The sequence below is a fragment of the Homo sapiens genome, chromosome 18, assembly GCF_000001405.40.
Source record: "Homo sapiens chromosome 18, GRCh38.p14 Primary Assembly".
Classification (NCBI taxonomy): Eukaryota; Metazoa; Chordata; class Mammalia; order Primates; family Hominidae; genus Homo; species Homo sapiens.
The window spans coordinates 12,119,658-12,136,443 of NC_000018.10; the positions used below are offsets into that span (position 1 = coordinate 12,119,658).

Consider the following 16,786-nt stretch of genomic DNA (forward strand, 5'->3'; position numbering starts at 1 on the left):
AGCATATAAACTTTTGAGAACACATTCAGACCACAGCAGGTGGTTTTGTTTTTTATCCCTCTGCTTGCTTTGGATTTAATTCTCTTATTTTATTATTTATTTATTTATTTATTTTCATTTTCTTAAGGTAGAAGTCAGGGTTATTGATTTGAGACTCTTCTAATATTGACATTTAGTGCTAAAAATTTGTATTTAAGTGCAGTTGTTGCTGCATTCTACCAACCTCAATATGTTATTTTTTCATTTTTATTCAGTTCAAAATATTTTCTTTTTTCATCATCTCTTTGAACCAGGGTTATTTAGATGTGTGTTTCTTAGTTTTCATGTATTTGAGTATTTCTTAGCATTATTTTTGTTATTGGTTTCTAATATCATTGATTTGTGGTCAGGATATGTACTTTGTATGACTTACATTCTTTTTACTTAATCTTTTTAATGAGATTTATTGTATGGCCTAAAATATTGTCTATTTTGGCAAGTGTTCCATAGGTACTTGAAAAGCATGGTGTTGTTTAAGTCTGCTCTATTCTTGCTAATTTTCTGCCTCCTTGTTCTATCACTTCCTGAGTAAAGGGTATTGAAACTTCAGATTACCTAGAAATTGTCTATTTCTTTTTATAGTTCTATCTACTTTGGCCTCATGTACTTTGAATTTCTTATGTTATTAGGGGCATAAACATTTAGGACTATTATATCTTCTTGATTAACTGAAACTTTTATCATTGTGACGTGACCTTATTTATTGCTGGAAATTGTTTTGCTATGAAATCTACTTTGATATTAATTGAACCATTTCTTCTCAGTAGTCTTCTGTCAAGTGTTAGCACGTATCTTTTTCTATTCTTGCAGCCGATTTGTGTCTTTACATTTAATGTACATTTCTTATAGACAGCATGTAATTGGGTATTGCTTTCTTATAGAATCTGTCAGTCTGCATTTTAATTGAGGCTTGCAGACCAGTTTCATTTATAATGTGATATTCAATATAGTTGTTTGTCTGTCATTGTGCTGTTTGATTGCTGTTAGTCTCGCTATTATTTGTTCCCCTTCTTTTTCTGCTTTCCTTTAGATTAATCAGCTATTTTCTATGATTTGATTTCATATTTCTTTTTTGGTTTTTTATATGTAACTCTTTGCTATCTCAATGGTTTATTTAGGATTTATAGTATATAATTTTAACCTATCACAGTCTACCTTCAAGTAATGTTATACCACATCATAGATGGTATAAGAAAATGACAATGGTACACTTTTATTTATTTTTTTTGTCCCAGACAGTTCCTTCCTGGATCTGTGGGAATATGGATTTTGCCAAGTTTAGAATTTTTGGGCCAATTATTTTTCAATTTTCTTTTCTGTCTTTGTTCCTTTCTATTTGGGGATTTATATATTAGTTGCTTGAAGGTTTCTCATAGTTCATCATGACAAATTTACGATTGTGATCTGTGTTTATTTTCCTCCACTGTAGTTTTTACCTCTGACATTGTAATTTACATTTCTGCAAGTGTGGTTTGATTTTTAAAGAAATACCTTTCATGCCTTCACTTATTGTCTCGAGCTTTGTTTGGGGTACAGTGATTTACTTATAAACAGAATTCTTTTTGTTCTTGCTTTTAGATTTTGAGTAATTTGCCACTCCTGAGGCAAGAGTTTTCGGATTATTTGTTGTCCTGTGAAGTATGAGTGTTTTGGGCCTGGCTCTTGGGATTGGACCCTCTTCTGGGCACTTTGTGAACAGCAGGCTTGGTTTCTCCTCATCTTTTTCTATCGTGTCCCCTCCACCGCTCGCCATCCCTTGGTCTTAGGAAGTTTCCTAGCACACATCCATTTTTTTCATTATTCCACTAAATACTTTAGAGGGGACCTCTGCAGATCTCCAGGGTTTGTTTCCTCTGCTGCTTTCTCCTCTCCAGTGTTCTGTCCTGTGATTTCTCTCTGCTTTTGTTTTACCGGATTCTTAGCGTCACCACCCCAGCTCAGGGAATCTATGTCAGATTTTCTCGCTTTGTCATGGCCTGGAAGCTCTGTCAACAAAAGAAGCTCTGTCAACAAAAAGGCCTACATTTGTTTCCTGTCTTTTAGTGACGACCATCTTCATTATCTGAAGTCCACTGTGTTGAAAATCATTGTTGAATATATTTTGTCTGTGTTGTTTTTGGTTGTTTCAGGTAAGGAGGAAAATCAGCACCCGTTGCTCCCTCTTGGGTGGAAGCAGATTGCCGCAGAGCTCCAGCACGTGCCGCAGACTAGCCAGAGCGCTTTGCTTCCTCCTTTGCTCAACTGCTTCCTTCTCATTTTTTATTTCTCAGTGTCTCTTTCTCTTCCTCAGGGAAATCTTCCCTGAGCCAAGTATAGGTCAGATCCTCTTACGTGACTAAAACAGCTATGTATTCTTATAGCATCTATCCGAATTTGTAATTGTCACATTTTTGTCTGTGTTCTTTACTACACTTGAAGCTAAACAAGATCAGATGTGTTGTCTGTTTTATCTGAAGAGCTTTCTAAAATATTTTCCACATTGCAAGCACTTAATATGTACATATTCATTCAGTGTATGAATGAGTGCCATGTTGAAATGCATAGTCCTTTATATTTAAAAACCTACTCATGTATTTTATCTCTATTTTGTCTTCTCCTGGTAACAGATTTTGTTAGCCTATCGAAAAGCAAGAATGCAACAGCTGCATGTGGAAGATCAATAGAGGATCAAAAATGTTACTGTGAACGACTTAAAGTAAAATTTCAAAAAATGAAAAATAATATTAGCGTACTACAAAAGGTACTATCTGAAACAGACAAAACCAAATCACAGTCAGAGCATCAGAATCTTCAAGGGAAAAAAAAGCTCTGTAATTTGAGGTATCACATTCTAGTTTTAAAGAAATATTTCAACTATTTATACTAAGGATATGTAGGATAATTTTTGTAATAGCTGACTTACCTTCTAGGGTTTAATAGAGAAGAAAACCTCTTAAAATTGTGGAATGTGAAATTTTTGGATAAAAAATCACAAGTTAATTGTGAATACTTCTCTAATAATTAATTGCATATCCCTTTAAATCATTATTTTAATGGCTATATAGAATTCCACCCTATGGAAATTTCATTATTTAATAAATTGAAATTGGGGATTTTAATTTTTTGTATTAATGCTGTAAGAAACATCTTACAGATCCATAGTTTTCTACATTTCTATTTCTTTACTTTGGATAAATTTTTCAAAATAGAGCTATCTGGTTAGAGTATAGGAGCTTTTTAAAAGAGATCGTTGATTAATATTACTAAGTTGTTCTTAAGAAAGTTTATAATTTATAATTTGAGTATGAAATGTATACTTTTCTCCACCCAGAGTAATTATTTTTAAAATTAACCAGTTTTTTTTGTTTGTTTGTTTGTTTTTTGTCCTTTTGAGACAGAGTCTTGCGCTGTCACCCAGGTTGGAGTGCAGCGGCGAAATCTCGGCTCACTGCAGCCTCTGCTTCCGGGTTCAAGCAATTCTTGTGCCTCAGCCTCCCAAGTAGCTGGGATTACAGGCACACGTCACCATGCCTTTCTAATTTCTTTTTTTTTTTTTTAAGTAGAGATGAGGTTTTGCCATTTTGGCCAGACTGGTCTCAAACTCCTGACCGCAAGTTATCTGCTGGCTTTGGGCTCCCAAAGTTCTGGGATTACAGTGTGAGCAACCACGCCTGGCCCAGTTTTACTCTTAATATGCAGCGAATGAAAAGTAAAATGGAAAGTGATTACTGATTAGCTTAGTGAACATCTGTCTCTGCTACAGAGTTTAAATTAATTCAAACTTCTATGCGGAAGGCAGATATTGTTCTTTATTGTTTAAATATTAGATCTTGTCTTGTTTGAGAATGGATTTTAAAATTGTTTGTAAAATACATACTAATCAACAGAATAAGTCAAAAGTGTTACCAGAAAAAGAAACATAAAATGTATGGGGTAACATCTTAGATTCTTTAGCTTAGTCTTGGATTATTGTCATCTGGAGATACATGTTGCAAGAAGGCATCTGGAGGTGCTATCTTACAATGTAAATCATGTTTAGGGATACCTGCCGTATTTCATGAAGATGAAAATTTATTTCTAGTGAAGGTATCAACTTGTTTATAAAAAATAACTTTTTTTAAAATTAGCTAACTCTAAATGATTCATCCTGACTGAGGAGTAATTATTACTGTGTGAAGAAAAGGTAATTTTTAACTTGTAACTTTAGCTAACAATTTTCAACATCCTTTTCCATAATATTTACGAGAATTACTAGTAACAGAAGCTAATCAATTAGCAGGATGTTCATTCCTTACTACCTTTCAATTTATATGTCTTCTTTGGAAGACATCGAAGTGAGAAATTAACATGCAAACTAGAAAGAAAAAATATTCAAGAACATGGGCACTTTATTAGGATAATAAACCAGCATATGAGTGTTTTGTTTTTAAAGGCTTTTAAGATAAGTATATTTAACTACAGATTTATCTTACAACAACAAGAAGAAGAAAGAATAAAGGCTGAAGAGTTGTATGAAAAAGATATAGAAGAGTTAAAAATAATGGAAGAGCAATATAGGACACAAACTGAAGTGAAAAAACAATCTAAACTGACTCTCAAATCATTGGAAGTGGAATTGAAGACTGTAAGAAGTAACTCAAATCAGGTAAATTAATGTTTGGTAAAATTTTACATTTCTAATTTTATTTTATTAATATTACTTAGAATATCCCTTTGACTTAGTTCTAAAACAAACCACAAATTTTATTTCATCTTAAAAATAAATGATACTTATAGCTACAATTATTTATTATAAATCTTGGCTTCAAAGTTATATTTTATTTCAGGTCAAAGACCTTTGGAAAACAATGATATCCCATAATATATATACTTAGTGATATTTTGTTGGTAAGTAATTTGTTCCTAGTGACATAGTTCAGTGTAGTTTTCCCTATTTTGCATTAATTATGGTTTCAAACATTGTGAAAAGGAAATAAAAGTTATCATAATAGTACATAATCTCAGGATTTCCTAAGAAGAGCTTTATAAATTTTATCTTCTTTGAGTTTTGAAAGAAAAGGTTTCTATTGTATTTGTATATCTACCCCATGGAAGTAACTGTGATGTGGTGGAGGACCACTAGAAGCAGAGTCAGAGAACCTAGGAAAAATCCAGCAGCTTGCTTCTATTTTTAACCTTTCCCTGCAGAATTGTGATAACTAAATGAATTTATTGATGTATGCATACAAAAGTGCTTAGTACAATGCCTAGATCTGTCATTTATCAATACATGTCATTGTTAAAACTGACTCTAAAAATGTAAGAAAAGTAGAATTATCTATAAAATAGTCACAGGAAAAAGAAACTTAAGGAATTTGGAAAATTTTATCTGTCCAGATATCTGCAGAGCTAAGACTCTTACTATAGGGAAAGTAAAGGTTAGATGTTAGTGTGTAAACCCAGTTTCTAAATGTAATCATAGTTATTAATCATTTATGTTTTTGGGTTTGTTGAAATTCAGTAAAAGCCTTCTTTTAAAAAAAATTAGATTCTTAAAGAATTTCTAGTGGTTTCTTTTTTTTTGCTTTCATAGATTCACTGTCTTCAAATACGTTTTTGAACTTTTGAGAATTTACTCTCTAAAAGGTTTGAGGTTTTGATTCAACTTTTTTTTTCCAGTTGGATATCCAGATGGCAACTCTTTCATTGTATAAACGTACAGGTTATTACTTATTTAGTTTCAGAAGAAATCATAATATGTCATTTTATTGGGTGCTAGTTGAGAGTTTTCTTTGTTTTATTTAGAATTTTCATACTCATGAAAGAGAAAGAGACCTGTGGCAGGAAAATCACTTGATGCGGGATGAAATTGCCAGACTCAGGCTGGAAATAGACACAATAAAACATCAGAACCAGGAAACTGAAAATAAATATTTCAAAGATATTGAAATTATAAAGGAAAACAATGAAGACCTTGAAAAGACTCTCAAGCGGAATGAGGAAGCATTAACAAAAACAATAACCCGGTATAGTAAAGAGCTTAATGTTCTGATGGATGAGAATACAATGCTCAATTCTGAGCTACAGAAGGAAAAACAAAGCATGTCAAGACTGGAAACAGAAATGGAATCATACCGTTGTAGACTGGCTGCTGCCCTATGTGATCATGATCAACGTCAGTCATCAAAAAGAGACCTACAGCTTGCTTTCCAGAGCACAGTGAATGAATGGTGTCATTTACAAGAAGACACTAATTCTCACATTCAGATTCTTTCTCAGCAACTTTCTAAAGCTGAGAGTACATCCAGTGGCCTGGAAACTGAGCTCCATTATGAAAGAGAGGCTCTCAAAGAAAAGACGTTGCATATAGAACACATGCAAGGAGTCCTAAGCCGAACACAGCGTCGATTGGAGGACATTGAACACATGTACCAAAATGACCAACCTATTTTGGAAAAATACGTGAGAAAGCAGCAATCTGTAGAGGATGGACTATTTCAACTACAAAGCCAAAATCTGTTGTATCAACAGCAGTGTAATGATGCTCGCAAGAAAGCTGACAATCAGGAGAAAACAATAATTAATATCCAAGTCAAATGTGAAGATACTGTAGAAAAACTTCAAGCTGAGTGTAGAAAGCTAGAAGAGAACAATAAGGGGTTGATGAAGGAATGCACTCTTTTAAAAGAAAGACAATGCCAATATGAAAAAGAGAAAGAAGAAAGAGAAGTAAGTATCAAGAAAGATAAGTATTTTTCAAACTTCCTGAAGTAAAATTTAAAGTATATTTGGTTATGGCTAAACACTGAATCTAGTTGAATATCAAAATATATACATGATAAACGGTTCTGCTATATCACCTTAGAAACGGAATTTGTTTCCAGCAAATAAAAGTTAGACCTAGGAGATGCTTTCCTTTGAGTAAAGACAATGTGACACTTAGGAAATTTTAAACGTTTCAGTTACAAAATGTTAATATAGACTAACATTTATAATGTAGTCTTACACTGCTGAAATAATTTTGATGTCTGTATGTTGCCACATTTTAGGATTACGATAAAGCAGATATAAAGAAATATTCATACCTAAAGTGTTATTTTGAAATAGATTCAATTAATTAGATTACTTTGACAGTTAATTCCAGATTTCCCAGATGAACTAAAGTGTATTTCCTATTTTATAATTATTCTTCCTCAATAGCTTTTAATGTATCTTAGTTGGTATAATTTTATTTTTATTCATGTCAATTTGACTTAAATCTGAAAATAATTCGGTCTCAAATTATATATTGATACAAACATTCCATTCTTTAAAGACATCTTTCTTACATTATAATATGGGGAAAATGTGGTAAATGTTAGCCAAACCATATTTGATTTAATCTTCCCACTGGCATTTATAACTTACTTTCAATTTTTCAGTCAAAAATGTGGTCATAATTTTTATTTCAAGGCTCAATGACTCTCATTTGGATATAAGGTTATCCGGTACAAAGATCAGCTTAGCTGTCTGTGATTTATTAGTTTCACATTGGATCCTCATTTTTAGACTAATGAGGGGTGGTAGGAACGGTGGGAGTAGGGAAGAGAGACATAGCAGCTGGGGTCAGGGAGAGAAGTGGAAGCCAGGTTAACTAGAGCCTCTAAGGCCATTGGAAGGTTAGTTTTCTTCTGAGGTGGAAATCTGTTGGAAGGATTTGAGCTGGTGACTGAATATGTGAAGAACTCTGAGGTTGATTTGAGCTTCTTCTTATAAAAAAGACGGAAAACACTGCAGTGTAAAATTCACTGCCACCAGTCCCACCCACATACCTGTTTCTTTTTGAGACCTCAGAAGGTTTTTAAGCATTGCACATTCATCAGTGCGCTGAATCTGTTGTATGAGTAACACGGCACCAGTTTGGCACAAAGATAACACCTTCTTTATCCTTAACTGGATTCAGTAATAAACAGGAATGTGTACACATGAGGAGGAGAAGAAGAATCAGTGTGTGGTGGTATTTTTCGAAGTGTGTATATTAGAGTTAAATATTATTAACAAAATTTAATAATAAGTGATATGTAAAATCAGTAACAAAAATAACATCTTACCAGGTAGTCAGGAGACAGCTTCAACGAGAAGTGGATGATGCCCTGAACAAACAATTGCTGTTAGAAGCTATGCTAGAGATTTCATCAGAACGTCGTATTAATTTAGAAGATGAGGCACAAAGTTTAAAAAAGAAATTAGGCCAGATGAGAAGTCAAGTATGTATGAAACTTAGCATGTCAACAGTTACTCTGTAGCTGGTTAAATAATATCAAGTGTTTCAGGACACTAGTTTCAGTGGAGAGCTTTCTTTTGTATTTTCATTATAATTAATTTTATTAAAATTTGATTATCTTTATAATACATCCATTTCTCAATCTCTGCCATGTTTTATAATTATAAATATTTTTCTTACACTATTTCCCCTTATGAAAGTTGAGAATTACACATCATTTCTCACAGAAGATTAGAGAATTCTTTTTTCTTTTTACAGTATATTTTTAGTGATTTCTTTCATTGCCACGTGGAGACAAGCCAGATTAATTCAGAGGATAATGTCTAATGGAATGTTTCAGAAAATTTTCTTTTTTTAATCTCTACTTTTCTGTGTGAATAAAGACTTGTGCTTACTTATTTCATGGGTTTCTGGTTAACTGGTACAGAAAGTCCATTCTGCAGAATAAATTAGTATTTTGATGAAAATCCTTGCTCTGACTTTATATTGGTCTATAGTCAGAGTCATATGACTATGGACAGTTAGCATTTGCCAACATGTATGTGTCTACTTTCTCTTGCTTAAAACAAAAACAAAAAACTTTACAAATGGGGTTATAGAAGGTCAGCAAAGGGTAGGTTTGAGATGTTTGGGTGGGTCAAGTGGGCATTTTGACAACGTGGCTTCTCCTTTGGCATGTCAATGGACATCCCTGCATTTTAAGATGACACTTTTAAATAAATTATCTCCTAATGATGACATGAGCCCTGCCACTCGATAGGAGAATCTATCTATTTTAATTATTTTTCTGTTTGTTTTAAAATTTTCTTCTGGTTTCCCTGGAAAGGAAAGATGATGCTTAGTTTTAAATGTTAAAAATGGGTCGGGCGCGGTGGCTCACGCCTGTGATCCAAGCACTTTGGGAGGCTGAAACGGGTGGATCACCTGAGGTCAGGAGTTTGAGACCATCCTGGCCAACATGGTGAAACCCCATCTCTACTAAAAAAGATAAAGAAATTAGCTGGGCATGGTGGTGGTGCACGCCTGTAGTCCCAGCTCCTCGGGACGCTGAGGCAGGAGAATTGCTTGAACCTGGCGGGGTGGAAGTTGCGGTGAGCCAAGATGGTGCCACTGCACTCCAGCCTGGGTGGCTGAGCAAGACTCCGTCTTAAAAAAAAAAAAGTGCAAGTTTTCTTGCTACAGCAAAAATTAAATGCAAACAGACAAAAAAGAAATGAAATTATAGTTGATATAGTGGTGTTTGGAATTGAAAAATATAAATGCTTACTATAATTTCCTATGTTTCCCCATTTTACCAATTTTGTAAATTTGAGTATCTGATAAAATAGAAATTAGAAAAGAAAAATACTGTGTTTTAATCCTAGAGCATAGGCAGTAAACTTTTCTGTAAAGGGCCAAGTAGTATTATTTGAGACTTTGTGAGCCATAAGATCCCTGTTGCAACAACTCAACACTACAGTTACAGCACAAAAGTAGCCGTAAACAATATGCAGACTGAAGGGGTGTGGCTGCATTCCAGTAAAATTTAGTTAAAAAACAGGTAATAGGGGCCAGGCACGGTGGCTCACGCCTGTAATCCCAACACTTTGGGAGGCCGAGATGGGCGGATCATGAGGTCAGGAGATCAAGGCCATCCTGGCTAACACGGTGAAACCCCGTCTCTACTAAAAAACACAAAAAATTAGCCAGGCGTGGTGGCAGGCGCCTGTAGTCCCAGCTACTCGGGAGGCTGAGGCAGGAGAATGGTATGAACCCGGGAGGCGGAGCTTGCGGTGAGCCGAGACGGTGCCACCGCACTCCAGCCTGGGCGACAGAGCAAGACTCTGTCTCAAAAAAAAAAAAAAAAAAAAAAAAGTAATAGGTCGATTTGTCCTAGATTATCATTTTTTATTAAAATAGATTGTGATAGTCTAAAAACAGTATTTTATATATAACCATATTTTGTTCATTCATTCACCTATTGATGGGCATTTGGGTTATTTCCACACCTAAAGGTTGTTTTTAATTCTTTGTTTTAGTTGCAAGAAATGCAGAATCAACGCACAGAGATTCTAAGACGTGCTGAGGAGTTGCCAGACCACATGCAAAAGTACAGTTTAAAGCAACATACAAAATATCTTGAGTATTTATAAAGCAAATGAGTAGTGTAGTAGGAGAATTGTATCAGTTAAGATAATAAGTATGTCTATGTGAAGTCAAGGAAAAATTTCAGCTTTAGGCTATTTTGAAATGCATAAATTTTCTACATTATTTTTAATTTTACACATCACCCACAAAACAAAGGTAAAAAAATAACAACAGTTTCTCAATTTTCTACTTTTCAAATGTCTCAGAATTTATATAATTATTCCTTCAGATGTTTGTTCAGAATTTATATGATTTAAAAAAAATTATGTCTGAGAATAATTATTTTAAAATATATATTTTAGGCTTAAAATAGAAAATGCCGTGTTAAAAATTAGAATGAAAAAGCGAGCGGACAAAATTGAGCAGCTTCAGAAAATTTTGGTAAGTTCAAGTTCAATAAGTCAATCTCTTATTTTCTGTCACACTGAAAAGGAATTTTATTTTTCTAGAATATCCCTTGTCCAAAATGTTTGGGAGGACCAAAAGTAGATTTTTTCAGAGTTTGGAATATTTGTATACACCTAATGAAATACCTTAGGGATGGTACCCAAGAGTAAACGTGAAATACATTTATGTTTCATATATACCTTATGCATATAGCCTGAAGATAATTCTACACAATGTTTTACTTTTTTTTTTTTTGCCTGGGGTTGGGGGATGCAGTGGGGCACAGAGTCTTGATCTGTCGCCCAGACTGGAGTGAAGTGGTGTGATCTCAGCTCACTGCAACCTCTGCCTCCCAGGTTCAGGCAATCCCCTGCCCCAGCCTCCCAAGTAGCTGGGACTACAGGTGCGTGCAGCCACACCAGGCTAATTTTTGTATTTTTAGTAGAGATGGTTTCACCATGTTGGCCAGGCTGGTCTTGAACTCCTGACCTCAGGTGATCCACTTGCCTCAGCCTCCCAAAGTGCTGGGGTTACAGGCGTGAGTCATCACATCTGGCCTGTACAATGTTTTACAAAAATGTTTTGCATGTAACAAAGTTTTAACTGTGTTTCCACCACAGCCTGTCACATGAGGTCAGGTGTGGACCTTTCCCGTTGTGGTATCATGCGGGTGCTCAAAAAGTTTCAAATTGTACAGCATTTTGGATTTCAGATTTTCAAGTTAGTGTTGATCAACCCTCCTTGACATATAATAGGGCTACATGATAATGTCTCTTGTTTAACTTAAACATTATTAATAAGATTTGACAGTTTCAGATGCAGCAGGTGTACAAGGAAACATAACTGCAGAAGTAGATGAAGGTATGTTGCCAAAAATTATGAATTAAATTTAAATCATGGATTTCTGAAATAAATATAAATAGTGAATGGGTTGCTTGGTTAACAAATACCACATTAAATACTTTTTCTTATACACATTACTGAAAGATGTGAAAACAAACATTCATAATGAAAAGTATACTTATGCCTCATTAGTTTATCATCTTCAATAGCTTTAAAAAAAGTCCTAAGAAGTCTGTGTGTATCCCTTTTTTTTCTGGCTCTACACTTGTTCCATCTCTATGGAACTGTCAGCTTGCACGCTGAAACTGTTCTCAGAAAACAAAGGCATCATCAACTTCTCAAGGTTATGGTAGTGATTTAAGGCCAAGAGATGCTAGACTCATGTATCAAGCAATTACAGTTCATAAGCAGTCACTTGACCAGTCATATTTTAAGAGAGAGAGAGAGTGTGTGTATGTGTGAGTGTGTGTGTGTGTGTGTGTGTGTATGTGTTTTATGTAGACTTGGTTTCTGGACTCTGTTCTGTTCTATTGATCTCTTTATCTTTATGCCAAAATCACACTGTTATGATTTTTGTAGCTTTGTAATAATTCTTCAAACTGGATTGTATTTTTCCTCTAAATTTATTCTTTTGTTTTTTTCAGAGTTACTGCACATTTCTGTGTCATCTACATGCCATGAGAGTCTTAAAATCAATTGTCAATTTCTACAAAATACCTGCTTGGATTTGGACTGTGATTGCATTATGTCATGGTAAAGAATCTTAATAATGATGACTCTCTCAACTTGTGAATAAGGTATTTTCTTAGATCTTCTTTGATTTTTCTCAACAATACTTTTTAGTTATTATTGTACAGATATTTTGCATAGTGTCAGATATATTCCCAAGAATTTTATATTTTAATGCTATTATAAATAGTATTATTTTTAAAATTTCAATTCCTAGCAGTTTATTTCTAACATATAGAATTACGATTGATTTTTATATATTGATCATGTATCCTGCAATGTGGCAAAACTCATTGGTGCCAGTAACGTTGTAATTGGTTTCACTTGGTTTTCCACATAGATGATTATGTCTGTGAATAAGGATAGTTTTACCTATTTCTTTTCAGTCTAGATGCCTTTTGTTTTCCTCCATTTCTTCCTTCCTCCCTTCTTTCTTCCTTTTTTTCTTCCTTCCTTCCTTCCTTCTCCCAACTCCCTTTTAAAAAGTGATTACAGTGGCTCGAATTTGCAGTACAGTGTTGAATAGAAGTGGTAAGAGCTGACATGCCTTCTCGATCTTCGGGGAAAGCATTCAGCCTTTCATCATTACATAGAATGTTAGCATTAGGTATTTTAAAGATGCCCTTTGACATGTCGAGGAAATTCTCTTGTATCTCCAGTTTGCTGAGGTTATTTTTTTAATGAAAAATGTTCAATTTTCTCAAATGCTTTTTCTGCATCTAATACATAATCATATGGTTTTTATGTTGTTAATGTAATTATAAGATTAATTGATTTGGGGGAGAAGGTTAAGTTGATATTTAATTTAAAATAATTTTTAAATGTAGTTTTTTCTTGAATTTTTTAGTTCAAATCTTGTATTCTGTTTAAAATGCTCTAAACTTTGTCAATTCTTTTTGAAAGTTCTGGTGAAATATACATAACATAAAATTTAGCATTTTAACAATTTTTAACTCCATAGTTCAGTGGCATTAAGTACATTCACAATGTCATACAACAATCACTACTATCCATTTCTAGAATTTTTTCATCATCCCTAATAGAAACTCTGTACCCATTAAATATCTTCCTATAATCCTTCTCTTCATCCCTAGTAACCTGTATTCTACTTTCTGTCTCTATGAATTTACCTATGCTGGGTATATTATATAAGTGAAATCATAAAACATTGGCTTTTTGTGTCTGGGTTATTTCACTTAGCATAATGTTTTCAAGGCTCATCTATATCATACAGCATGTATCAGTAGTTTATTTCCTCTTATTTGCAATTAATTTTCTATTGCAGAGAAATACCACATTTTATTTAACAGTTGATGGACATTTCGATTGTTTCCAGGTTTTAACTATTATGAATAACGTACTGTGGACACATATGTGGACATATGTTCCTCTTGGGTAAATACTCAAGTGGGAATCGAGGTCAAATAGTAACTGTGTTTAATCTCAAGGAACTGTCAGGCTGTTATTCAACACAGCTGTACAATTTTACATTTCCACCAGCAGTGTATGAGGGTTCCAATTTCTTCACATCTTTTCCAGTATTTATTTTTCATCTTTTTTATTATAGGCATTCTAGTGGTGTGAAGTGGTACCTCATTGTGGTTTTGATTTGCCTTTCCCTTTGATGTTGACCATCCTTTCATGTGGTTACTGGCCATTGTCTATGTTCTTAGATGAAAAACCTGGTCGTTATCCTTTGACCATGTTTTAATTGATTGCCTTTTTGTAGTTGATTTGTAAGAGTTCTTTATATATTCTGAACAAGAATGTATTTTTTTACACTTTTTTCATAAACTTTGTTCTAAATCTTGTATTCTTTATTGTTTCTGTTTTAAAATTTTGTTTTATCAGCCTCTTTTCTCAAGAATTTACTATATATATTAGTATCATATTTCTGTATTCCAATCTTGTTTTCATGATTTGCTTCCTTGCCCCAAAGAAAAAAATATATTCTCATTACCCAAATAATTTCCCACTTTACTCACACCCACTATTTTTCTATAATCCACATTCTCTCCTAGGGCAAAAGATTGGGAAGATTTACCTTACTGAGGAAACTTCCTTTATATTGTTCAGGAATAGCTTTAATGAATTTTACATACTTGGAGACATCAGGAGAAAGCATGTATGTCACTGCTTTCCTCAGGAGCACTGGCTCATATGCCTTGAAAGGATTTAGTAGACCTTTAATAAATGGCATAAGATACCAACAGCTGCCATGTCATTAAGCATCACATTTACTTATCAAGAAGGAAATAATTTAGAATTTACCTGTCAAAATCTATTACAAAGATGGCACATATTTGACTAAAATTGCAGTGTTTGTCCCTATTGACATAACTATAGTCCCTGCCTTTCTCATCTGTTTTCCCTTTTTTTTTATTATTATACTTTAAGTTTTAGGGTACATGTGCACAACGTGCAGGTTTGTTACATATGTATACATGCGCCATGTTGGTGTGCTGCACCCATTAACTCGTCATTTACATTAGGTATATCTCCTAATGCTATCCCTCCCACCTACTCCCACCCCATAACAGGCCCCAGTGTGTGATGTTCCCCTTCCTGTGTCCAGGTGTTCTCATTGTTCAGTTCCCACCTATGAGTGAGAACATGCGGTGTTTGGTTTTTTGTCCTTGCGATAGTTTGCTGAGAATGATGGTTTCCAGCTTCATCCATGTCCCTACAAAGGACATGAACTCATCCTTTTTTATGGCTGCATAGTATTCCATGGTGTATATGTGCCACATTTTCTTAAACCAGTCTATCATTGATGGACATTTTGGTTTGTTCCAAGTCTTTACTATTGTGAATAGTGCCACAATAAACATACGTGTGCATGTCTTTATAGCAGCATGATTTATAATCCTTTGGGTATATACCCAGTAATAGGATGGCTAGGTCAAATGGTATTTCTAGTTCCAGATCCCTGAGGAATCGCCACACTGACTTCCACAATAGTTAAACTAATTTACAGTCCCACCAACAGTGTAAAAGTGTTCCTATTTTTCCACATCCTCTCCAGCACCTGTTGTTTCCTGACTTTTTTTTTTTATACTTTAAGTTTTAGGGTACATGTGCACAACGTGCAGGTGTGTTACATATGTATACGTGTGCCATGTTGGTGTGCTGCACCCATTAACTCGTCATTTAACATTAGGTATATCTCCTAATGCTATCCCTCCCCCCTCCCCCCACCCCACAACAGTCCCCAGAGTGTGATGTTCCCCTTCCTGTGTCCATGTGTTCTCATTGTTCAATTCCCACCTATGAGTGAGAACATGCGGTGTTTGGTTTTTTGTCCTTGCAATAGTTTGCTGAGAATGACGGTTTCCAGCTTCATCCATGTCCCTACATAGGACATGAACTCATCATTTTTTATGGCTGCATAGTATTCCATGGTGTATATATGCCACATTTTCTTAATCCAGTCTATCATTGTTGGACACTTGGGTTTGTTCCAAGTCTTTGCTATTGTGAATAGTGCCGCAATAAACATACGTGTGCGTGTGTCTTTATAGCAGCATGATTTATCGTCCTTTGGGTATATACCCAGTAATGGGATGGCTGGGTCAAATGTTATTTCTAGTTCTAGATCCCTGAGGAATCGCCACACTGACTTCCACAATGGTTGAACTAGTTTACAGTCCCACCAACAGTGTAAAAGTGTTCCTATTTCTCCACATCCTCTCCAGCACCTGTTGTTTCCTGACTTTTTAATGATCGCCATTCTAACTGGTGTGAGATGGTATCTCATTGTGGTTTTGATTTGCATTTCTCTGATGGCCAGTGATTATGAGCATTTTTTCATGTGTTTTTTGGCTGCATAAATGTCTTCTTTTGAGAAGTGTCTGTTCATATCCTTTGCCCACTTTTTGATGGGGTTGTTTGTTTTTTTCTTGTAATTTTGTTTGAGTTCTTTGTAGATTCTGGATATTAGCCCTTTGTCAGATCAGTAGATTTCAAATATTTTCTCCCATTCTGTAGGTTGCCTGTTCACTCTGATGGTGGTTTCTTTTGCTATGCAGAAGCTCTTTAGTTTAATTAGATCCCATTTGTCAATTTAGGCTTTTGTTGCCATTGCTTTTGGTGTTTTAGTCATGAAGTCCTTGCCCATGCCTATGTCCTGAATGGTATTGCCTAGGTTTTCTTCTAGGGTTTTTATGGTTTTAGGTCTAACATTTAAGTCTTTAATCCATCTTGAATTAATTTTTGTATAAGGTGTAAGGAAGGGATCCAGTTTCAGCTTTCTACATATGGCTAGCCAGTTTTCCCAGCACCATTTATTAAATAGGGAATCCTTTCCCCATTGCTTGTTTTTGTCCGGTTTGTCAAAGATCAGATAGTTGTAGATATGTGGCATTATTTCTGAGAGCTCTGTTCTTTTCCATTGGTCTATATCTCTGTTTTGGTACCAGTACCATGCTGTTTTGGTTACTG

The 16,786-nt window shown here is 34.7% G+C and overlaps 1 protein-coding gene across 2 annotated transcripts in view; it reads left to right on the plus strand.

The window, feature by feature from the left end:
- ANKRD62 (ankyrin repeat domain 62) overlaps positions 1-16,786 on the plus strand; it is an 87,842-nt gene that overhangs the window by 25,815 nt on the left and 45,241 nt on the right. The window contains exons 11-18 of one of the 2 annotated variants that reach the window (XR_001753188.2): positions 2,646-2,859; positions 4,480-4,663; positions 5,803-6,726; positions 8,091-8,243; positions 10,279-10,349; positions 10,690-10,768; positions 11,585-11,635; positions 12,262-12,414. Coding sequence is in view for 1 of the 2 variants with exons in the window: in NM_001277333.2 (NP_001264262.1) it covers positions 2,646-2,859; positions 4,480-4,663; positions 5,803-6,726; positions 8,091-8,282 (1,514 nt within the window). In the remaining variant the exon portion in view is untranslated. Of the gene's footprint in view, positions 1-2,645; positions 2,860-4,479; positions 4,664-5,802; positions 6,727-8,090; positions 10,108-10,278; positions 10,350-10,689; positions 10,769-11,584; positions 11,636-12,261; positions 12,415-16,786 lie in introns of those variants that run through there. The other variant, NM_001277333.2, reaches the window with a different exon arrangement.